Consider the following 24,983-nt stretch of genomic DNA (forward strand, 5'->3'; position numbering starts at 1 on the left):
GAGGAGTAGAGATGGGAGCTGATATTTCTTACTCCTTGTCATGCTTTCTAATCTCATTACCAGGAAAGCCTTGGAACAGGGCTGTGAATTTCTAGTCCTGTCTGAAAACATGACTGTCTCATCAACCTGCAAGTACAACCTACAGGGACTCATGGATAGAGACCCCAGAAGATTCAAGTTTCCTGCTGAGGAAAAGCAAGGCAGCTCTGCCTTCTTGTTTCATCTCTCCAGTCTATAAACAAACCTTTTTTTTTTGGTGATTTTTCTGGGCCCCCCAGGATAGCATTGAAGTACTGTCTAGTGTTCCTAGGTGCAAGAAGGTTGTGATGTGCCTTAGAGAGAAAATATATATGTTAAATAAGCTTAATAAACTTGATTCTGGTATGAGTTTTAGTGCTGTTGGCTGTTAGCTCAATGTTAATGAAACAACAATATACATGATATACATGAAATAAGGTGTCTTTAAACTAAAATATATAAAGAAACAAAATTGTGTATTGATCAGTTGACAAAAATGTTAGAACCACGGCTTGTGGAAACCTACCTTCGTATCTCCACTAAGAGTGATGGCTCAGTATTGTAAAACCATGTTCTCTTCCTCTGTCCAGGGCATAGTATCAGACCTTTACAGGCACAACCCGTCTTATTGCGCTTCTCTTAACTGTGCTTCACAGACACTGCATTTTTTTTTTTTTGATGGAGTCTTGCTCTGTTGCCCAGGCTAATCTCGGCTCACTGCAACCTCTGCCTCCCAGGTTCAAGCGATTCTCCTGCCTCAGCCTCCCGAGTAGCTGGGACTGCAGGCGCGTGCCACCACGCCTGGCCAATTTTTTGTATTTTTAGTAAAGATGGGGTTTCAGCATGTTAGTCAGGAAAGTCTTGATCTCCTGACCTCGTGATCCGCCCACCTTGGCCTCTCAAAGTGCTGGGATTACAGGAGTGAGCTATCGCGTTTTTAACAAATTGGAGGTTTGTGGCATCCCCATGTTGAGCAAATCTATTGGTGCCATTTTTCCAATGCCATGTGCTCACTTGATGTCTCTGTGTCACATTTTGGTAATTCTCACAATATTTCAAGCTTTTTCATTATATTATATCTGTTATGGTGATCTGGGATGAGTGATCTTTGATGTTACCATTGTAATTATTTTGGGGAACCCTGATCCATGCCCATATAAGACAGTGAATTGAATCAATAAATCTTGTGTGTGTTCTGACTGCTCCACCAGCCAGCCATTTCCCCATCTCTCTCCCTCTTCTTAGGCCTCTCCATTCTCTGAGACACAACAATATTGTAGTTACGCTCATTAATAACCCTACAATCGCCTCCAAATATTCACATGAAAGGAAGAGTCACATGTCTCTCACCTTAAATCGAAAGCTAGACATGATTAAATTTAGTGAGGAAGGCATGTTGAAAGCTGAGATAGGCCAAAAGCTAGGTCTCTTGTACGAGTTATTCAAGCTGTGAATGCAAAAGAAAACTTCTTGAAGGAGAGTAGAAGTGCTACTCCAGTGAATACACAAACGATAAGGAAGTGAAACAGTTTTCTTGCTGATATGGGGAAAGTTTGAGTGGTCTGGATCAAACCCGATCAAAGCAGTCACAACATTCTCTTAACCACAGCCTAATCCAGGGCAAAGCCCTCACTCTCTTCAATTCTATAAAGCCTGAGAGAGGTGAGGAATCTGTAGAAGAAAAGTTGGAAGCTAGCAGAGACTGGCTCATGAGGCTTAAGGAAAGAAGTCATCTCCATAACATGAATGTAAGGTGAAGCAGCAAGGGCTGATGTCAAAGCTGCAGCAAGTTCTCCAGAAGATCTGGCTAAGATCATTGATGAAGGTAGCTACACGAAACAACACATTTTCAATACGGATGAAACAGCCTTATATTGGAAGAAGATGCTACCAAGGACTTTTACAGCTACAAAGAAGTCAATACCTGGTTTCAAAGCTTCAAAGGACAAACTGACTCTCTTGTTAGGGGCAAAAGTAGCTGGTGACTTTACATTGAAGCCAAAGCTCATTTACCATTCTGAAAATTTTAAAGCCCTTAAGAATTATGCTAAATATATTCCACCTGTGCTCTATAAATGGAACAACAAAACTTGAATGACAGTACATCTGTTTACAGCATGGTTTATTGAATATTTTTAAGCCCACTATTAAGACTTACTGCTCAAAAAATGTTTCTTTCTAAATATTATTGCTTAATATTGGTTAATAATATACTTTGTCACTCAACAGTTGATGGAGATGTACGAAGAGATTAATGTTGTTTTCATGCCTGGCAAAACAACATTCATCTTGTAGCCCATGGATAAAGGAGTAATTTTGACTTTCAAGCCTTATTATTTAAGAAATAAATAGATAGCTGCCATTAATAGTGATTCTTCTGTTGGATGTGGGCAAAGTAAATTGAAAACCTTCTGGAAAAGATTCACCATTCTAGATGCCATTAAGAACATTTATAATTCGTGGGAGGAAGTCAAAACGTCAACATTAACAGGAGTTTGGAAAAAGTTGATTCCAACCCTCCTGAATGACTTTGGGAGTTCAGGACTTCAAAGCAGGAAGTAACTGCAGATATGGTAGAAATAGCAAGAGAACTAGAATTAGAAGTGGAGCCTGAATATGTGAGTAAATTGCTCAATCTCATAAGACTTGAATGGTTGAGGAGTTGCTTCTTATGGACAAGCAAAGAAAATGGTTACTTGAAATGGAATCTACTCCTGGTGAAGTTGTTCACAGCATTGTTGAAATGACAGCAAAAGATTTATAATTATATAAACTTAGTTGATAAAGCAATGGCAGGGTTTGAGATGATTGACTCCAATTTTGAAAAAAGTTATAATGTAGATAAAATGCTATCAACCAGCATTGCATGCTACAGAAAAATCTTTCATAAAAGGAAGAGTCAATTGATGCAGCAAACTTCATTGTTGTCCCATTTTAAGAAATTGACACAGCTATTGCAGCCTTCAGCAATCACTACCAGGATCAATCAGCAGCCATCAACATCCAAGCAATGCCTTCCACCACCAAAAAGATTCCCATTAGGTGAAGATGATCTTTAGCATTTTTTAGAAATAAAATATCTTTTTAAGTTAAGGTAGGTACATTGCTCTTTCTAGACATCGTGCTATTGCATACTTAACAGACTACAGCATAGTGCAAACGTAACTTTTATATGCATTAGGAAACTGAAAAATTCGTGTGACTCGTTTTGTTGCAATACTCGCTTTATTGCGGGGGTCTGGAACCTAACCTGCAATATCTCTGCGTTATGCCCTTATAGCGCCGGGAGTGGGTGCCTTCCGCCGGCTGTACAGAGCGCCGGCAGGTGGCGCCCAGCGGCGAGCTTGTTCCAGCTTGGTTTGGGCCAGGTGGACTGGAAGGGGCGGAGGTAACCAGAAGCGGCTAGTGGCGGCTGCCTGCGTCCCCAACCCCCTCCGCGCAGCGCTCGCGACACGCGTGCCAGGAGTGGGAGCGAGCGGCGGGGCCAGCTGCGTTCTGAGCCTGGGCGCAGCTGCCATCTGCTCTGGGAAGCACCAGGGTGTCCCCGCCGCCCTCAGCTCGAAGTCAGCCACCATGGAGGCGCAGGCACAAGGTGAGTGGTCGCCGATCGCCCCGAGAGTCAGGTCCTGGGGCGCGCATAAAGGCTCTTTTCCTGCACCACCTAACTTCGCTCTCGGACAGAACAGATTGGTGCCGTGTTGCACATCCAGAACTCCACTCCCACCCGCGCCTTTGGTATAATGCCTGCTGCCCAAACTCAGGATTTGCTGTGGGTCTGGGGATCAATAAAGTGACAGGGGATCCGTAAGTGGAGAGGCCCCTCCTCAGGAAATGCGCCCGTGGAATGCTCTACCCTCTTCCGCAGCCAGTCGCCCCTGGCCTTCCCAACCTCGCGGCTGCCCGAAGGACCTGTTGTGCCGGGTCCGGAAAGCGTGTTTCGCTCCCTTTCCCTTGAGGGAGTGGGGAGGGAATGTGACTCTTTTCGCCCAGCGCCGTGGACTCGCGGCTTGTGGCTCCCAAGTTAGGGAGTGAGAGGATCGCCCGCCGAGGGGGTGGCTCCGCAGCCCGGCTGCGCGAGACGCTTCCCGCTCGGGGACCCGCCTTCCGAGGCCAGGTGAACGTTACCGGCCCCCTGACCTCCAGCAGATCCACACGTGAGTCCCGGTTTCCGCGATCGGGGAGCGACCTCTGCCTCCCGTGGCGCGCGGGGCCCCCGGCCGCCCAGCTCCCTGCTCCCGGGGCTGCCTGCTGGAGGAGCCTGCGGTGGCTTCAGGAAGGGCGGCCTCATATCTTGGGGTCACACTTGGAACAGGGTTGGGGAATTCCGATGGAATCGTTCAAGAATGGGGGTAAACGGACCGTGGAAAGGGGCAGAGGTGGGCGGATGTGGAGCGAGAGACAAGTGGGAAGGAAACGGACTCAGTGATCTACCTTGGGGAGCAACGCCCAGAAGGGATGGCTTGCGGAGTTCAGCCTTTAAGGCAATCAAAGCCACCATTCTTTTACACAGTAGGAAACTCTGTGTTGGCTCTTAGTATAGATAAAATCTCATTAAAAAGAAAAAAAAAAAGGTTCATGACCTGATGCGCTCGCCCTCTAGGGGCAGAACGCCCTGAATGAGAGTGGGTTGGCGATTGCGTGGGCCTGGAGTCGCCCAACAGGTTTGCTGCCAGGATTACAATTGTCTGAACAGCACGAACCTTACTCGTTTGTTCCATCCTCCTAAGTCCTGCCCGTAAAGCTGCCGCTTCCCATATTTTTTCCTCTATTATGTAGATAGGAAATGATAATTCAACCAAGGGTGAGGGCAGTTGGTCAAATTCAAAAGCAGAGGTCAGGTTGGAGGCCTTCACGCCAGAACTGAAGCTGGTGGGAGCAGCACCGGAGCTTTCCAACCTGACTTGCATATTAGAATTATTTAGAGAGTCTTCATTACTGGCCTTGGCCAACCCCATCCCAGTCAAACTGGAATCTTTGGAACCTGAACATGGGTATATTTGAAAGCTTATATTAGTGAGGATGGAGAAGAACTATAGCAGATAGGAAACATTCATACAACTTCTGAAGACATCCGAAACTACAGACTGGTAACCACTGGTGTCACTGGTTTGCTTTATTGCTTTGCTTTACTTCCAAGATTTACTTAACAAATATTTCAGTGCTTTCCTTTGCCAAGCACTGTGCTAAGAAGAGCAAAGACAGACTTGGTATCTGCTTCATAAAATTTACAGTAGAGGAAGAGACAAATATTAATTTGATAGCTATTTGAAAAATAACATGTAAAATCACTGCCATGCTGATGCTAAGAAAGGGCCTCATAGTGCAGCGAGAGCCTGAAAAACTATAACCCTAGTATGCAATAATCAGAAGAGCAGATTGTTTATTGTGTCCCTGTCTCTGTTCTTCGTGCTTTGCATGTATTGATGGACTCATTTCCTGTGCGCAGCAGTCCCATGAGGTAGTTCATATTCTCATTCCCATTCTACAGAGAGGAAACAAGCATGGAAGGTATTAGGTTGGTGCAAAAGTAATTGCAATTTTTGCCATGACTTTTTAATAAGTTCCTTGTTTACAGCCAGATAGGTAAAAAGTAGCAAAGTGGATGCTGTGAGGGACCCATTCTCACTCAAAGCCTATGACTTTTGGAGGAAAGGTAAAACTTCAGTCCCCACCTGAATCTCCAGCTGTCCTGTGGTGCTCTTCCTTTCCCCTCATGACTGGATGGAAACTTTAGGTGTAAAGAGGACTAGTAAAAAGGCAAATGGATATGAGAAAAGTGAACAGATTTAATAAATACTTAAGAGGCCAGGTGCAGTGGCTTACACTTGTAATCCCAGCACTTCGGGAGGCCAAGGTAGGAGGATCACTTAGAGCCCAGGAGTTCGAGACCAGCCTGGACAACATAGAGAGACCTCATCTCTACAAAAAATAAACAGAATTAGCTGAGTGTGGTGGCATGTGCCTGTAGGCCTAGCTACTTGGAAGGCTGGAGTGGGAGGATTGCTTGAGGTCAGAAGTTTGTGGCTACAGTGAGCCAAAATCCCAGCATTGCACTCTAGTCTGGACAAGAGTGAGACCTTGTCTCAAAAAAAAAAAAAAAAAGAGAGAGATACAAAAAAGGCCAGCCACACCTGTAATTCCAGCACTTTGGGAGGCTGGAGGAGACAGATTTTTTGAGCCCAGGAGTTTGAGATCAGCCTGGGCAACATGGTGAAACGCTGTCTCCACAAAAAATACAAAAATTAGCTGGGTGTGGTGGTGCGTGCCTGTATCCCAGCTATTTGGGAGGTTGAGGTGGGAGGATCACCTGAGCCCAGCAGGTGGAGGCAGCCGTGAGCTGTGATTACATCACTGCACCCCAGCTTGGGCGAGAGGGCAAGACTCTGTCTCAAAAACAGATAAACAAAAAGAGAATAACAACAAAAAAACTTAAGAAAAGTCAAAATTGGATTGAATGTGAAGGAGGGCAGTGTCAAGGATGACCAGCTTCCTACTTGTACAATCAAATGGAGGATAATTACCTCTTAAATCTTTATTTGCCTAGCATTTTAAGATTTTCATTTTCAGACTTTTTGTTATTTATAAAGCAGAGATATTGAGTTATTTAAGAAAAAACTTCTCACAAACTGTTTATAGCATATATTAAAGGGAAATCTTTTTTCCACTTGCACATTTTTTCTGGCTAAATGAATGATTTGCCTCTTAGATTCTAGATAAGACAGTTCTGTGATTTTTAAAGTGTAAGTTTCCACCTTCAGCACAGTTTATTTTAGAATTACCTAGAGTGGAGATGGCTTGTCTTTCTGCCTGCTAATCTAGAGACAGGTAAAGATAAGTGAGATTAAGCAGGCAGTTGCTGATGAGTTGTACCTCATATTGTCCAGGAAGACACCAAGGTGTTATGGACATGATTCGCCCATATAGCTCAGTAAGTGCAGCAACTTACTGCACTAGAAACTTTCCCATAAGTGAAATTATGCAAATATGTTCTTTGACTTTGTAAAATAATAGATTACTTCCAGCAAAACAAGAGGACTCTCAGGGGAGGTGGTAGGACACTAAACAGGAAGTGGGATTATGGGTGGAGCTGTTCACTGAGGAGGGCTGGAGAACAACGTGGAGAGAGATGTCCACAGGAGAATGGCATTCCTATTTGCTTTCCTCTGGTACCAGATAATTTTGCTTTAAGACAACTGATATGTTAGAGAGGGAATTGGGTTGGAAATGTAGCATTTTCCCGAAACATACAGTAGTCCTTTAAAATAAAAACTTCCTGATCCTTTTAAACTACCCTTCAATATTTTATTATTCTAAATGGAAATAACTTTGTTGTTTTCACCTTTCCCAACGTCTTTAATGTTACAAGGAAAACTGTCTCCTTTTAACATTTGCATATATTCAAATTAATAACTATGTTAGTTTCTCAAGGCCACTGTAAAAATTACCACAAACTTCGTGGCCTAAAACAATTAACATGTGCTGTCTCATTGTTTGGCGGTTAGAATTCCAAAGGCACTATCACTAGGCTGAAATCAAGGTGTCGGCAGCGCTGTCCTTCCTCTGGAGGCTCTAAGAAAGAAATCGTCTTTCCCTCTTTCAGTTCCTGGTGGCTGCCGACATTCTTGGGCTGCATCACTCCAATCTCTCTGTCTCCGTGGTTATGCTGCTTTCTGTTCTGTTCGCATCAAACCTCCCTCTGCCTCTCTCTTATAAGGACACTTGTGATTTCATTTAGCACCTACCTAGATAATCCAGGATAATCTCTCTCTCTCTCAAGACCTTTAACTTAATCACACCTGCAAAAGGTAACATTTCCAGGTTCCAGGAATTAGGATATATTTAGGGGCCATCATTCAGTTTACTATAATAACTATTTTTTATATCCACTCAAGAAGAGTCTCAGATGTCCATGAATGAAATAAAGCAATAAATATCAGATTAACCCTACTGTTTGCAAAGTCCTTTAAATGAAAATGTCATTATACTTTACATTATACTTTATACTTACATTATAAGTATACATTCTACATTATACATTATACTTTACATTATACTTTATACCTTACATTATACTTTGCTCACAGAACATTTATATAATTTTATCTTGTTTCAGGAAGTACATAAGGCAGTTTATATGGATACTTGAAATGCAACAAGATAATGTAAATTAAAAATAGATGAAAGAAAATAAATGAGGATAAGAAGAGAAAAGGAAGCAAGGGATGAAGCTCTAGAAAAATGAATATAATCACATTACTTTTATTGATATTGCATGGAAGATAAATTCTTACTTTATAAAGGAAGTATGGCATTTTGTTATAAAATGATAAAAGAACCATTCTTCCTTCTGTCAAACAGCAGCAGGTCCAGTCTCTTATACAGGCATACCTTGGAGATAGTGTGGGTTCAGTTCCAGATCACCCCAAAGAAGTGAATATTGGAATACAGCGAGTCACACACGTTTTTTGGTTTTCTAGTGCATATAAAAGTTATGTTTATACTATACTGTAGTTTGTTAAATGTGCAATAGCATGCTATCTAAGAAAAGGTACATACCTTTATGTAAAAGATACTTTTTGCTAAAAATTGCTAACGATCATTTGTGCCTTCACTGAGTGGTAAGTGTTTTACTGGTGGAGGGTCTTGCCTGGATGTCGATGGCTGCTGACTGATCCGAATGGTGGTTGCCGAAGGCTGAGGTGGCTGTGGCAATTTATTAAAGTAAGACAACGAGGAAGTTTGTCACATAGATTGACTATTCCTTTCAAGAAGATTTATATATAGCCTGTAATGCTGTTTGGTAGCATTTTGTCTGCGATAGAACTTCTTTCAATATTGGAATCAATCCTCTCAAGCCCTGCCACTGCTTTATCGACTAAATTTATATAATTCTAAATCCTTTGTTGTCATTTACACAGTGCTGTGAACATCTTCACTGGGAGTAGATTCCATCTCAAGAAACCACTCTTTGCTCATCCATAAGAAGCAACACCTCATTCATTCAAGTTTTAGCATGAGATTAAAATGTCATAAATTTAGTTACATCTTCAGGCTCCACTTCTGCTTCTTTTGCTGTTTCTACCACATCTGCACTTCATTTCCTCCACTGACATCTTGGACACCTCAAACTCATTCAGGAGGGTTGGAGTCCACATCTTCCAAACTCCTGTTAATGTTGATATTTTGACCACCTCCCATGAATTACGAATGTTCTTAATGACATCTAGAATGGTGAATCCTTTCCAGAATGTTTTCAATTTATTTTGCCTAGTTCCAACAAAAAAATCACTATCTATGGCAGCTGTTTTCTTATGAGATGTATTTCTTAAATAATACGACTTGAAAGTCAAAATTACTCCCTGATCCACAAGCTGAAGAGTGGATGTTGTGTTAGTAGACGTGTGAGCAATGTTAATCTCTTTGTACATCTCCATCAGAACTCTTGGGTGACCACGTATGATATTGTTTGGCTGTGTCCCCACCCAAATCTCATCTTGAATTGTAGCTCCCATAATTCCCACATGTCATGGGAGGGAGCCATTGGGAGGTAATTGAATCATAGGTGCCGGTCTTTCCCATGCTGTTCTCATGATAGCAAGTCTCACGAGACATGATGGTTTTATAAAGGGGAGTTCCCCTGAGTATGTCCTCTTGCCTGCCACCATGTGAGATGTGCCTTCCATCATGATTGTGAGGCCTCCCCAGCCATGCGGAACTGTGAGTCCATTAAACCTCTTTTTCTTTACAAATTTCCTAGTCTCGGGTATGTCTTTATTAGCAGCATAAGAATGGACTAATACAGGTGTGTTATCAACCAGAAGTAATATTCAGAAAGAAATATTTTTTTTCTGAGCAGTAGTTCTTAATAGTGGACTTAAAATATTCAAGAAACCATATTGTAAACAGTTACCCAGGCTTTGTTATTCTATTTATAGAGCACATTTTCTAAATCTATAGATTTAGAATAATTATTTATTTATTTGTATTTGCATTTTCATAGATGAAAGGTCTTGCTCGGTTGCCTAGGCTGAAGTACAGTGGGATCATCATAGCTCACTGACACCTTGAACTCCTGGGCTCAAGCAATCCTCCTGCCTTGGCCTCACAAAGTGTTGGGATTACAGTCATGAGCCACTGCATCTGGTTACAGTTAGAATAATTCATAAGGGCCTTAGAACTTTTTGAATAGTAAGTGAGCATGTAACTTAAAGTCACCAGCTACATTAGCCCCTAACAAGAGAGTCAGCCTGTACTTTGAAGTTTTGAAGCCAAGCATCGACTCCTCCTCTCTAGCTATAAAAGTCCTAGCTGACATCTTCTTCCAGTGTAAGGCTGTTTCATCTATATGAAAATGTGTTGTTTAGTTTAGCCACTTTCATCAACTATCTTAGCCAGATCTTCTGGAGAGCTTGCTGCAGCTTTGGCAACAGCCCTTGCTGCTTCACCTTGCACTTTTATGTTACAGAGATGACTTTTTTTTTTTTTTTTTTTGAGATGGAGTCTTGCTCTGTCACCCAGGCTGGAGTGCAGTGGCACGATCTTGGCTCACTGCAACCTTCACCTCCTGGGTTCAAGCAAATTCTCCTGCCTCCGCTTCCTGAATAGCAGGGATTACAGGTGCGTGCCACCACGCCCTGCTAATTTTTGTGTTTTTAGTAGAGATGGGGTTTCACCATGTTGTCCAGGCTGGTCTGGAACTCCTGACCTAAGGTGATCCACCTGCCTCAGCCTCCCAAAGTGCTGGGATTACAGGCATGAGCCACCATGCCAGGCCTGAGATGACTTCTTTCCTTAAACCTCATGAACAAATCTCTGCTAGCTTCCAACTTTTGTTGCACAGCTTTCTCATTTCTCTCAGCCTTCATAAATTGAAGAGACTTAGGACCTTCTCTGGATTAGATTTTCACTTAAAGAAATGTTGTGGCTGGTTTGATCTATCCAGACCACTCAAACTTTCTCCCTATCAGCAATTAGTCTATTTCACTTTCTTATCATTTGTGTGTTCAGTGGAATAGCATGCTACGTTTCTTTCAAGAACTTTTCCTTCACATTCACAACTTGAATCAAGAGGCCTGCTTTTGATCTATCTTGGCTTTCACTGTGCCTTCCTTGCTAAGTTTAATCATTTCTAGCTTTTGACTTAAGGTGAGAGATTTGTGTCTCTATGTTTCACTTGAATACTTAGAGACTATTATAGGGTTAATTGGCATACTATCAATATTGTTGTGTCTCAGAGAGTGGAGAGGGCCAGGGACAGGGAGAGAGATAGGGAAATGGGTGGCTGGTGGAGCAGTCAGAACACACACAGGATTTACTGGTTAAGGTCACCATCTTATATGGGCATAGTTCATGGTTCTCCAAAACAATTCTGATGGTAACATCAAAGATCACCAATCACAGATCACCATAACCGATTTAATAATAATGGAAAAGTTTGAAATATTGTGAGAGTTACTAAAATGTGACACAGAGACATGACATGAGCCCATGTTGGAAAAATGGCACCAATAGACTTGCACAACCTGGGGTTGCCACAAACCTTCAATTTGTAAAAATAATATCTGTGAGGTACAATAAAGTGAAGTGCAGTGAGGTATGTCTCTAACTATTAAATTATCCAAGGAAAAAATTATTTTGCATTTTATGTTTCATATTTAAAATTTTGTATTGAAGTTTAGGCAATATAATAATAAACCTCAAACTATGGAAGCAAGCTGTTATATATTTTGATTTATGATTTTTAAGAGTATTATTAAGACTATTCATACAATTTTCAAAGTTACCTCCTGTAGTTTTGTTTCCTGTTTAAGTAAAGGTTTTGAAATAGGTGATGATGCATATTTTAGGTGAAGTCAGTCATTTGCAACAAATCATATACCACTGTTTTATTTTAAATTATTTTAAAATCTAATTATACAAATGGCAGCTGTTGTAGTAGATGGGAACATATTTTGAATTGCCTTCCCTGTTATACACCTTATTAATTATCTGGGTAGGCAGAATCTGAGAATTTCTTCAAAAACTTATAAGCAAAGGAGTCCATTTTTGTGGCCTATAAGAAGATGTGCTACTTAGTAATTTATAGTAAATAATAAACAAATACTTCAGCAGATATTGATTCATTAAATATTTTAATAAATACTTATTGATTACTGCAGTAATAGCAAATATTTGACAAGCACATACTATTGGGAGGGAAAAGGGCATAGTGATTAAGATCCCAGGATGAAGGTAAACTGCCTGGATTTTAATTCTGACATGTTACTTACCATTAATATGACCATGAACAAGTTATTCATTTCACTCAATCTTGGTTTCTACATATGCAAAGTGAAGATAGTAATAGCTCCAATATCATAGGATTGTTATGGGGATTTAACATGTTAATACAAGCAAAGTGCTTAAAGCAGGGCCTAGCACATGGTAAGTAGTATATAAATGTTTGCTGTTGCTTTTATTAGCATATGCTGAAAACTTTGCATCCATTATTTTATCAAAACCTTATAATAACATCATGAGGTAGATACCTTTACTTTTAACTCATTTTATAAACAGGGAACTACGAGTCAGAAAAATTAAATGAAGAAGACAGGATTCAACTCCAAGTTTAATTGAGTCCAGAGAATGAGCTTAACTACTATACTGCACTGTGCCTTAATGTGTGCTGTGCCACACGTGCAAAGGGGAAGCTAAGATGAACTTGACATGGTGTCATCTTTTCAGGAGGATAGGCAAAAAAGAGTTGAGAGTCGTTCCTGTGGGTTAACACCTAGAACTAATGAGAGGACATATTTCCATCCCAATGGGATTTTTTGAGTGCTAATGTGCTAATTAGAGCTAATTCACATTGAGGGTGATAATAGCAATAACATTTTAGTGTTTTTACAAATGTCAAATACCATGGCATGCACTTTTTTAAAAAGCATGTTATTTAGTCAGGTGCAGTGGCTCCTGGTACTTTGGGAGGCCAAGACGGGAGGATCACTTGAGCCCAGGAGTTCAAGACCAGCCCAGACAACATAGCAAAACCCTGCTTCTACAAAAAATAAAGAAGTAAATTGGGCATGGTGATGCATGCATGTATTCCCAGCTACTTGGGAGGCTGAGGTGGGAGGATTGCTTGAGCCCAGGAGTTTGAGGTTGCAGTGAGCTATGATTGCATCATTGCACTCTAGCCTGGGCTGGACAAAGTGACACCCTGTCTAAAAAAAAAAAAAAAGAACAAAAACAAAAAACTCCAAACATGTTATTTAATAAGTACAACAGGCCGGGCGTGGTGGCTTATACCTGTAATCTCAGCATTTTGGGAGCCTGAGGTGGGCGGATCACCTGAGGTCAGGAGCTCAAGACCAGCCTGATCAACATCGTGAAACCCCCTCTCTACTAAAAATACAAAAATTAGCTGGCGGGCACCTGTAATCCCAGCTACTTGGGAGGCTGAAGCAGGAGAATCACTTGAACTTGGGAGGCAGAAGTTGCAGTGAGCCGAGATCATGTCATTACACTCCAGCCTGGGTGACAGAGTGACACTCTGTCTCAAAAAAAAAAAAAAAGAAAACAAAAGAAAAAAACCAATAATAATAACAAACTCACAAGGAAGGTAACATTTTGGTTTTACAGATGATGAAACTGAATGACAGACTAGTTACACAACATTCTCCAACTCATACAACTTGGAAGTGTTGGAGTTGGGATTTGAAATCAGAAAGTTTGACTTCATATCTTGAGATTTCAATTACCATTCTATAGGTACTTTGTATGCACAAGCAGTCAGTGTGCAAAGTTTTAAATAATGGTTTTGCTTTATTTTCTATATGATCAAAGAGGCTTTAAACGGGCAGAATTTAATTGTACAGTTCATTTCATATGTGGGCAGGGTCTAAGTCTGGGAATATGAATGGGACTGGAGATCTTTAAGAGTAAGCCTTGCGACATGTCAAGTTGCGGGTGGAGGATGCTCATTTATCAACAGCTTGCTATTTTTGTTCTGTTTTCAAGATGAAGAATTCTATAAAAATCACATGACATGTGATTCTTAAACCAATACAGAATTTTATCACCAGCTCAAACAAAAGTCTGTTCAGATATGTTATTCCACTTGGTGTTCATCCATATTCAGTCATCTCAGGACTTTAAAATAAATAAAAGTCACAGGCTCTGCATGCTTCTTTCCAGAAAGTAGAATCTGTATTCTTTAGATGCTGGCTGAAAGGGCTAATTTCAATGAGTACCCCAAAAAAGAAAGCATTTTATTGCCTCATGAACATTATAATTACTTGTTTACACGAATATGTTTTATTCATTTAACCATCTCCCAACCATACTAGCAGAATAACTACTTTAAGAAAATACCTAGTAAAACTGTTGAAAAAAATGAGCCATCAATGGATTTGTCCTTAAGCGACTCTAGCCATCTCTGTGTTGAATTTTCACGGTTTGAAGCAGCAACTGCAGAAAAGAGGGCATCTGCCTCAGTCATTGATCAGCTGGCATGCTCTCCATGCAGGCAGAGGTTCACCATTACTTCTGTTGCGAAATGTCCCCAACAACACCGTAAAGCCAGTCACTTCTTCAATTTACTGAGTTAAGCTGATCATGGTGGTGAGTGCTTATAGTCCCAGCTAATCAAGGTGCTGAGGCAGTGGGACCACTTGAGCTCCAGAGTTCAAACCCAGGCTAAGCAAAACCCCTGTCTCTTAAAAAAAAGATATATATATATATTTTAACTGTATATATATAGTTTTGTATACATATATAAAACTAAAAGAAAAAAGTAAAACAAGAAAAAATTTACTGAGTTACTACACAGTTAAGAACACATAAAAGGTGACCTCAAAATGTGGATATTCACATCTGTCATCCTACTTTTCATTGAATATTTAAGCAATAAAGTGTAATGATTTGAAATATATGCATTAAATTGAGAAGCATTGTTAATGTACCAGGGAAGGCAGGAGAATATTTTAATGAATTTGAAATGGCTAAAAGGAAGCTTTGGGTCCTCAAGGAAAGATGAATTTTAAGCAATTTCTCACAGTGTGAATCGTTTATAAGTGATGCATTTTGATGCAGAGGAAGTGAAGTTCCCAGAATAAAACCACAAATCTCCAAGAATACCCTTAGTCACCAACATATTGCTTCTTTCTCAAAAGGCAAAAATCTAGCACTTTGCTGTAGCCAGATCATGTACCACACATGAAAAATGCATGTATATGTTACACCTCATCTCCAAACTTACCTATGGTTATTTGTATCTTATACAAATTACAGTTTCCCTGACATATATCTAAAATATGGAAAACTCTTCAACTCCTTGGAAATACATTTTTCTTATAATTAGACATTTCTTTTGTCCATTAATAGCAAGAGCGTCTTGTCAAGGATCATGGAAGCAGAACTGATTCAAGATTAAAAAGATCCGTAAAAGTCACATGAGATGTAATTCTTAGAACCAGTATAGAGTTTTATCACCAGCTGCTAGGAAAAGTCAGTTCAAATATGGAATGGTTCAAATATGTTATTCTACTTGGTGTTCGTCCATACCCAGTAATCTCAGTATTTTAAAATAAATAAGTCATAGGATCTGCGTGCTTGTTTCCAGAAAGTAGGATTTGTATCCTTTAGATGTTGGCTGAAAGGACTAATTTCAATGAGTACCCAAAAAAAGAAAGCTTTTTATTGCCTCATGAGTATTATAATTACTTGTTTACATGGATATGTTTTATTCATTTAACCATCTCCCAAGCATATTCACGGAAGCAGAACTGATTCATTCAAAAGAAAAAGCCAATTTGGGATGGGGGTAGTGGGAGGAGATCTCTTCAGATCTCTCAGTTTTAAAGTCTCTGATGGTTGGATATTTGTAGTTTTTCACTGATTTTTCTCTCTGCATAAAGAGCTAATAGCTCATTGTCTATAAATATTTTCCAACATTTTGTTTTCCAAAATGGACTCATTTCTACATAAAGACGTCATGGAAAGATGGTTTTTCTTCCTGAAGGGTTAGGTCAGCCCTGGGAAGAAGTATAGACCTTGGCTCCTGTTATTCCTCTTTAGATATCCCAGGGTTCCAACAGGAAGTTACAAGATACCTGCACTACCTGTAAAGTTTATTTAAAATGATTGGAAGGCTCTCATAAGCATTGGAGGGGAAGAAAAACTTTTTTTCTACCCTCTTAGGTGAAGTGCCTAGGAGCCTGTGAATTAAACTTACAGCAGACAGACTAGCAGGAGAAAAAGCTTACAAAGTTATTTATTTTAAATTTTGCTTGCACAAGGGTGTCATAGAAAGAAATGAATACCCCAAGGAGTGATGAGATTTGATTTTCTGTATCATTTTACTACAGGAAAGGGAGGTGGAGAAAAGGCAATATTGAGAGAGCAAATGACTTCTTTAAAAAAAAAAAAAAAAGATAAATGGGTCCTTAGGAGAATAGATGGGAGATATGACAGTTTGTGACAATGTCTAGAAGAGAAGAAAGAGTTGCTCCCAGTGGGAGGAATTTGTGACAGCTGAGTTCTTTTGGGAACCTCTGCTTTTAGTCAGATAAAGGATTTCGGGAACTCAAATGCCTTCAGCTCAAAATAACTCTTATGGGCTGGGTAGGGTGGCTCATGCCTGTAATTCCAGCACTTTTGGAGGCCGAGGCAGGAGGACTGCTTGAACCCAGGAGCTCAAGACCAGCCCAGGCAACATAGCAAGACCTCGTCTCTACTAAAAATAATAATTTTTAAAAATTAGCCAGGCGTGGTAGTGCATGCCTGTAGTCCCACTACTCAAGAGGCTGAGGTGGGAGGGTGACTTGAGCTTAGGAGGTGTTTGTCCCACTGCACTCCAGCCTGGGTGACAGAGCAAGACCCTGTCTCAAAAAACACAAATAAAACAAAAAACAAAAAAACACCTCTTATGGCAAAGTGGCATATTTTGGGGTGGAAAACGCTGATTCCTTTCAGCACGCATCATTTGCTCATGTTTTACCCAATATATGAAGGGCATTACCGGAAAGGAAAATACCTGTTTACTCTTGGCCTACTGTGTATCTGGTGTGGCTTCATTCATTTATAAGATGTTCCACCAGGCTCTTGTAGCCCATTCTCAACAACAGTAGCCTTCAAAGAAGGAAGTATATTCTGAGATTAGGACTTGTAATTTTCACGTGACAATTTAGAGAATATGTAGAAATAAGAATACACATTCAGAACGTGTTTGAAATATTGTTACAAATGTTTCTGAATTTTTACAATTTTCAAAGAAACCTGCATGTAGAAAATATGAGGGTGCTATTCATCAGTCAGAAGACATGTGATTACATCGTGCAGTGCTTAACACATGCACTTTACAGGTCCTCCTACCAGTAGGAGAAGACACCAAGACTCCAGGTCCTCCTTTACAGAAGTCATTGTGGCATCCACAGGGTAGGAAAGCCCCATACTCAGCAGTGAGCAATTTTATACATTTGCAAAGCAAATCTTGTACTAAAAAAAAAAACAAAAAAATGGGGTGGGTTGAGTAACAGTAAACTATCATAAAATATACATCTGAAAAGAGATTCAGACATACTTTAGAAAAGAATTAAAGTCACAATATATTTGCCACCTCAAATTAAATTCATTTGATTATGGGGTTGGTGACTTCTTTCATTAAGTGATGGGGAAATAGATCAGTTCTATCAAGCACTGCCAGTTTATCACTTACTATCTCAAATCTTTCAGTTAGACACAAATAGAACTTTGTATGACCTTTGCTAATGGAGAGCAACAGTAGAAAATTATTCATCCCACGTTTTGGGTACTTACTATTAAATATGCTTGTTTGCAATGACCTAGGAATTCACAACATATGCAAGTACAAAACCTACCTTATTGTGACATCTGGCCTCAGGAAGAGAAAGAACTTGGTGCCAGTGTTCTTTGACTCTTGACCCATCATAACGGGCTCAGTAACCTCTCCCCTCAGATGATTCCCTGAGACCCACCACAGGGATATCTTCTCTTCTTAGTACCCTCTTCTCTGAGTACCCTCACCCCTCAAATGATATCCTGAGACTCACCTCAAGGGGGATCCTCTCTTCTCAGTCCCCTCTCCTCTCAAATGGTGTCCTACACCTGCCTCTGTAGAACTTGCTTCTGTCCTTCTCAGATTTTTTTTTTTTTTTTTGAGACGGAGTCTCGCTCTGTTGCCCAGGCTGGAGTGCAGTGGCACAATTTTGGCTCACTGCAAGCTCCGCCTCCCTGGTGTACACCATTCTCCCACCCCAGCCTCCCAAGTAGCTGGGACTACAGGCGCCCGCCACCACGCCCAGCTAATTTTTGTATTTTTAGTAGAGATGGGGTTTCACCATGTTGGCCAGGATGGTCTCGATCTCTTGACCTCATGATCCGCCCACCTCGGCCTCCTAAAGTGCTGGGATTAAGGCCTTCTGAGATTTTTATTTGTTCTTTTTATCCCTTCTCCCATACTGAGGGAAAATAAATGTTTTGGTTTATGTAGTAGGACCTGTTATGTATGTTTCAAACATAATGGCCCCATATAATAGCTTTGAATTTGGATTCCGTTAGAGTTGGAAAAAGAGAAAGTCAGCACTCACTTGCATGTGGGCGCTTTCTTGCTCCCTCTTTCTTTGTGCCCTCCCCTTCCTCTCTCTACCCCTGCTTTCCACCTCCCTTTCTCTCTCTCTCTCAAAGTACCAAGTCCAGTGCTGTATTCTCAGTGCTCATCTTCACTGACCTATTAGCATATCTTGGCGGGGTTGCCCACTATCTGCTCCTTAAAGCACTTTGTTCACTTGGTTTTCAGGATACTGAACAGTTCTCCTCCTTCTTCTCAGTCTCCTTTGCTAGCTGCTGGCCTGCCCCAAGGATCCGTCCTTGGCCTGCTTCTTCTTTCTATCTACACTAGCACTGTTTGCCATCTCATGACTCATGATTTTGAATTGGATCCATGTGCTAACAACTCCAAAATTTATTTTTCCTGCCTGGACCTCACTTCTCAACTTCAGACTGCCTACATGATACGTCTGCATGGGTGTCTGATCAACATCTTGAACTCAACATGTCTAACACTGATCTCCTGAGCTCCCTCCTCCAAAATATCCCTAGTCCTCCTAAGTTCATCCTCATTTCAGTTAATGACAACTCCATTTCAAATGCAGAAGCCCAAAACCTATCATCCACGGTTTAGCTTTGTTTTCCCTCCATTATACCCCATTTCCAGTCTGTCATGCCAGCTCTACTTTCAAGATGTAGCCAGAATGGGACAGCTTCCTACCACCTCTGCTGGTATTGCCTTGGTCCCAGCCTTCCTTATCTCCCATGCGCATTACTGCAGGAGCCTCCTAGCAGGCCTCCCTGCCTTGGTCCTGGACTGCCTTCACTCCATTCTCAACATAGTAACCAGAGTGATCCTTTCACTCATGGTGTATCATGACACTCCTTCCTTTGAAGTTCTCCGGTAGTTCTTCAATTCACACAGAATAAAGGGCAAAGACCTTACAGTGGCCTTTCCTTCTTCCTCTTTTATTTCCTGGACCTCATTTCCTAATGCTCTCTCCCTTAATTCCCTTCGCTTCCTCTTAGGAACCTTTGAGTTTATTAATCCCTCTTCTTCAAGACGCTTCCTCAGATATCTTCTGGGCCTGCTTCCTCACTTTCTTTGGTTTTTTACCTAAATATTGCTTGTCAGTACTACCCTTAGATCTGGCAACTGGACCCAGATCTGTTGGGACAGACAGTTATCTCTGGGTTTGTCAAGTTTCTGCACAACACGTATTCTGATCAAAGGTATGAACAGCTCATTTTCCCTGGACTCTCTTTTCCAGGTATTTGCATGTCACTCACAGCAATAGCAGTAGCCACAATAACATCATTCTACCAGTTCTCTGAGGCTCAATTCCAAAAGGATGTGACAAGGGGCAGGTATTGCCTATTAATGCAGTCAGGTGTGTTACAGGAGAGTAACACTGAGGTTAGGAAACACCGAGATTAGGTTGTGTAGGGGCTATTATGTAGCCTAGAAAAATAGAAATTTTTCTCTTAGGGGCAGATTTATTTACTATCCAGGATAATAAAGGTGATAAAGACCAGATGTTGGGCAGATTTGCTGGTAGCTCTCATATAAATCGGAGTTTCCTAATCTCAGTGTTACTCTCCAGTAACACACCAGCCTGCATTAACAAGTAATACCCAGCCCTTGTTACATCATCCTTTTGGAACTGGGGCTCAGAGAACTAGTACAAGGATGTTTCTCTGGCTACTGCTATTGCTGTGAGTAATAAATTGTCTTTTGTCTATGACCCAGAAGTCTTGTGTCTTCTGCCAATATCCATGAAACTGGCAGGCCAATGTCTTGGCTTGCAAGTAGGGTAAAATTCTGACCCTTCTTATTTCTAACACCTGTTCAGAGCCTTTGGTTTTAGAGAGCCCCACTTTAGCCCTCTTCTAGCTGAGCCTTTGTTTAGAGTGAGCAGCTCGTAGGCTCACCTATAACCTGTGCCTCCTCTTCTAGACCATGTTCTGGTATCTGAGACTCCAGAATCCCCTTTCCAAACAGCCCTGAGAGTGTTACCAGGCATCCATGAGCCTTTCGTGGGTAGACTATGCTGCCAGAATGTGTATTCCTCATCCCAAGAGATGACCAAGGGCTGGCTGATTTTGGGGGTGGCAATGAGAGTAGCTTGAACACACAGGCTAGGAAACTAGTTCTCAGGTGTGATTCCTCGACCAGCATCATTAGCTTCACCTGGGAACTTGTTAGAAATGCAGATTCTTAGGCCCCACCCATTTCTGTTTCTACCAAATCGGAAACTTTGAGAATGAGCCATTTGTGTTTTAACATGCACTCTAGGAGATTCTGATGCCCACTTATGTTTGATGATATGATGTACACTCAACAGACTAGGTTATCCACATACATGTGCATAAGGCGCCTATCAATGCTTGTGGCAGACAGACCCTAAGGTGACCCCCAGTGATTTCCAGCTTCTGTTATTGATATTCTTGTATAATTTCCCTAGTTAGAGCATGGGCAAGACAGTAACTTGCTTCCAAACAACAGAATATGACAAACTGATGGGATGTAACTCCCATGATTACATTACATTAATAAGACTTCGTTTTAGCAGACTGGAGCTGAGGCCCTCCTTGTGGGTCGATGAAGTAAACAGTCGAGTTGGAGAAACCCACATGGCCAGGAACTGTGGGCAGCTTCTAGAAACTGGGTGTCTTTTAGGACATAAGGAAGGCAACAAAAACCTGGTTCTTTAGTTTTGTGCCTCCAGAAAGTGAGTTCTGCCAACAGTCTGCATGAGCCTTGAAACAGTTCTCCTCTGGTCCAGCCTCTAGATGAGAGTGCAGTATGGCCGACACTTTGACTGCAGCTTCATGAGACCCTGGGCAGAGGACCCAGCTAAGCTGTGCCTGGATTTCTGATCCACAGAAACTCTGAGATAATAAATATGTGTTGTTTTAAGCAGCTAACTCTGTGGTCATTTGTTATGCTGCATTTGAAAGCTAACACAGGGCAGGGCTCCGTGTGAGAGGAGAGGATGGGATGTATATTTTTTTTTGTGCTCTTGCCTTGCCTTGGGTTCTGCAAGTGTTGGTGATGGTCTGTCACGGCCCTTCTATTTAAAACGGTACCCTTCCCCTACTGCCTCCTTCCCTCCCTCCCTCCCACCTTCTTTCTCTTCTTTCTTTCTTTCTTTCTCTTTCTTTCTTTCTTTCCCTTTCTTTCTTTCTTTCTTTCTTTCTTTCTTTCTTTCTTTCTTTCTTTCTTTCTTTCTTTTCTTTCTTTCTTTCTTTCTTTCTTTCTTTCTTTCTTTCTTTCTTTCTTCTTTCTTTCTTTCCTTCCTTCCTCTTTCCTTCCTTTCTTCCTTTCTTTTCCTTCCTTCTATCCATCCATCCTTCCTTCTTTCTTTCTTTCCTTTTTCTTTCTTTCTTAGACAGAGTCTTTCTCGTCACCCAGACTAGAGTGCAGTGGTGCAATCCTGCTAGTGTTAAACTTCTGGCCTCATATGATCCTCCCATGGCAGCCTCCCAAAGTATTGGGATTATAGGCATTAGCCACCACACCTGGCCTGGATTTTTGTGTGTGTGTGTGTGTGTTTTTTTTTTAGCAGCTATTTCCCTCTTTCATGCTATATATATATATATATATATATATATATATATATATATAATATATATACTATATGGCATGAAATTAGGTATATATATACAATTATATATATAAATATATATAATTATATATATATAACTATATAATAAACTATATAATAAATTAGGTATATATATATATTTATTTTCTTCATTGTCTCTTCCCACTCCTTCTAAATGTAAGTTCTACAGGCCCAAGATATTTTGCTGTTGGTCACTGCTTACTCTCCAGCACCTAGAACAGGGCTTGACACACAGTAGAGGTTCAATCAGAATTTATTGAATAAATAAAGTAAGCTATAATGTTTTTGAAAGTCTACTGGCTCCTGGTAAATGCTCCACTGAAATCAACAGGTTTTTCCTACTGTCTTTCCTTATTATTAGGTAATTGCATGAATGATAAAAATAAATGAGAAGGAAATAATTTCAACAAAGGAGTAAGCAAATGAAAAAATGTACTTCATTCCCTGCCCTTCCCCCATTAAAAATAATACATTGACTCTGGGTTTGCTGTTTTTACAAGACCAATTGGTTTATCGATCAATATTGCAATTGAATGTAACCCTTAATTTCTATCAGCCTGTCTCTTCTCACTCCCTGGTGGCCTGGCTGCTGTGTGTTTGTGTGTGTGTGAGCACATGTTCACAGAAGGAATCCAAGAGGAAGAAAAGTCCAACTTCCTATAAATCTGTGCCCCATTTTCCTTTCTCTCTTTTCTTAATTACAAGGCTGTTTCTGGCTCAATCATTTAAGCCAAAGAACTTTCCGCTTTGAGTCAGGCACACGGTCCAAGGAATGGTTTATAGAGCAGCTTGGTTGTCCTCCCTATTGTAAATCTAAATTTTTGTCTGGGTAATTGTTTTCTGTTGTTCTCTGCCATTTTTCTCTTGATTAAACCCTTTGGAGAGGCAGCCTGATGCAGAGAGTGCCCTGGCCCAAGAGCCAGGAGGTGCAGCTTCTGATCTTGGTTTCACCACCACTCTGCCACTCCCTTCTCAGGTCCTCTGTTTGCTCACCTCTTTCTTACCCAAGAGGGTTGGATTAGTCGCCCTTGGAGATCCTGCCCAGCTCGTTCTTAAGAAGCCTGTTTAAACTCCTTCAATAGGTGATGCTTTTTAAATATATATATATGCGTACATACATATATACAAATACATGTATTAAGCTATTCCTTAAACTATGTTTGCTTTTTTATTTCCTATGAGGAAAGTCTGCAGTCAAGTTAGATATTTTCATTTTTTTAAGTAAGTCCTAAAATGCTATTCTAGATGCTGATACTTCTCGTTTAAAGAATGACTCTGCATACTCACATAAGTAATTTCTCCAATCTGAGATGACTGTGGTCATACAGAAGGAAGTCAGGATGAAGAACACAGAAGAAAGCAAACTAAAGGGCCTGTCACATAAAGGGATCCTAGTCTAGTGACAAAGAGCCTACATGTTGTCACAAAGATTTGGATTCATTTCCCAGTGCAGTCCCTTATTAGCGATGTGACCTTTAACTTCCTCAAGTCTCAGTTTGCTCATCTACAAAATGGTGGAAATGGGGGGCCCTCGATGGATCTTGTGATGATTGAGTGGCATGATGCAGATGAATTGCTTATGACTGTGCTTGGGTACTATTATGGCAATGAAAGAGAAAAGCGAGATTCATTTATCAATTTCTCATGAAATATGCATTTAATATCCCCTGTGCTGGGCCCTAAAGTAGGCACTAGTGAAACAGACACGAAAGAACCAAAGTCCTTTCCTTTGTGAGTTTACCACCCTATTTTCGTTATAGCAGTTAGGTGTCAAGTAACTATTTTTAATGCATTCTTTTACCCAAAAATTTGTTGTACTTTTGTATGCTACCTACCACAAAGTTAAAAATAGCTTTCTGGAGCTAAGGAAAGATGAGTAGGTTGAAGATAGAAATAAATATGTAAGTTGACGGAATTTGGCTATCTGGCCTGCATGCAAATCTGAAGCATCAATTGTACCTACTAAAAAAGACCGAAATTTTGCTAATGAGACAATAAATGTTTTAAATGGTTGCTGCTTTTGGTCCTTCTTTATTTACTAGGATGAAAGCTTAAAGATTTGCATAGCAGATATACAAAGCAATGTTCATTGTTTGGTTACATTTTGAGGAAGAACAGGTTAAATGTTTTGCTTACATTTGCATTGCTGCTTTCAAAATAACTTAGTAGAGCATTGGGGAAAATGCCAGCAGTGCTTACCTCTTCAGTTAGCAGATCCTATTTCCGGTCTCTTGTGGCTTGGATGTTGATGATAACAAGACAGGCTTGCTGAAAGGAGTGCAAAGTGCATGGGGAAGGGTGCATGTCCTCCATGGCAGGACTTTGACAATCCTGGTGTCTGTTGCTTAACACCATGCTTCAGACCTCTAACTGATCTGATTTCAGCTCTTGCCATTTTAGGTATTTCAAAAAATAAGGCACAAAATGAAAGCTTTTAATATGTTTGTGTTTATTTACATATATATGTGTGTGTGTGTGTATCCTATCATTATCTATCACCTTTACTCTGCCTTATTTTTCTTCACAAACTATGACATTTTATATTATGCATAATCATTTACTTTTTCTCCTAGCTAGCATTTAAGCTCCTTGAGGGCAGGGGCTTTGATTGTTTTCTTTATTGCCGTATCCCCATATCTAAAACAATGACTGTTCATGGAGAGCACTCTATAAATACATGCGGGGAAAACAATGAATGAATGAATAAATGAATGAATAGTATTGAGTGCATATAGCATTATATCCAACCAAGCAGGTGGTAGCAGCATGGACGTTTCAACTTTTATAAGA

General features: G+C 40.6%; 1 protein-coding gene across 10 annotated transcripts in view, besides 1 other annotated feature; it reads left to right on the forward strand.

Annotated features, from left to right (window-relative positions):
- TPD52L1 (TPD52 like 1) overlaps positions 3,413-24,983 on the forward strand; it is a 110,635-nt gene continuing 89,064 nt past the window's right edge. For 6 of the 10 annotated variants that reach the window (NM_001318903.2, NM_003287.4, NM_001003396.3 and 3 more), the window contains exon 1: positions 3,413-3,610. In NM_001318903.2, coding sequence (NP_001305832.1) covers positions 3,592-3,610 — 19 coding nt within the window. In that variant the 5' untranslated portion in view covers positions 3,413-3,591. Of the gene's footprint in view, positions 3,611-3,885; positions 4,173-24,983 lie in introns of those variants that run through there. The other 4 variants (NM_001003395.3, XM_017011239.2, XM_047419287.1 and 1 more) reach the window with 1 other exon arrangement.
- Positions 4,209-4,796: an enhancer, noted in NCBI's record as "NANOG-H3K27ac-H3K4me1 hESC enhancer chr6:125475715-125476302 (GRCh37/hg19 assembly coordinates)". NCBI's record gives its function as "activates a minimal SCP1, AML or CMV promoter by ChIP-STARR-seq in primed H9 embryonic stem cells {active_cell/tissue: H9 hESC(primed)}" and the evidence as "EXISTENCE:reporter gene assay evidence [ECO:0000049][PMID:30033119]".

Source organism: Homo sapiens, chromosome 6 (genome assembly GCF_000001405.40).
Source record: "Homo sapiens chromosome 6, GRCh38.p14 Primary Assembly".
Taxonomy (NCBI): Eukaryota; Metazoa; Chordata; class Mammalia; order Primates; family Hominidae; genus Homo; species Homo sapiens.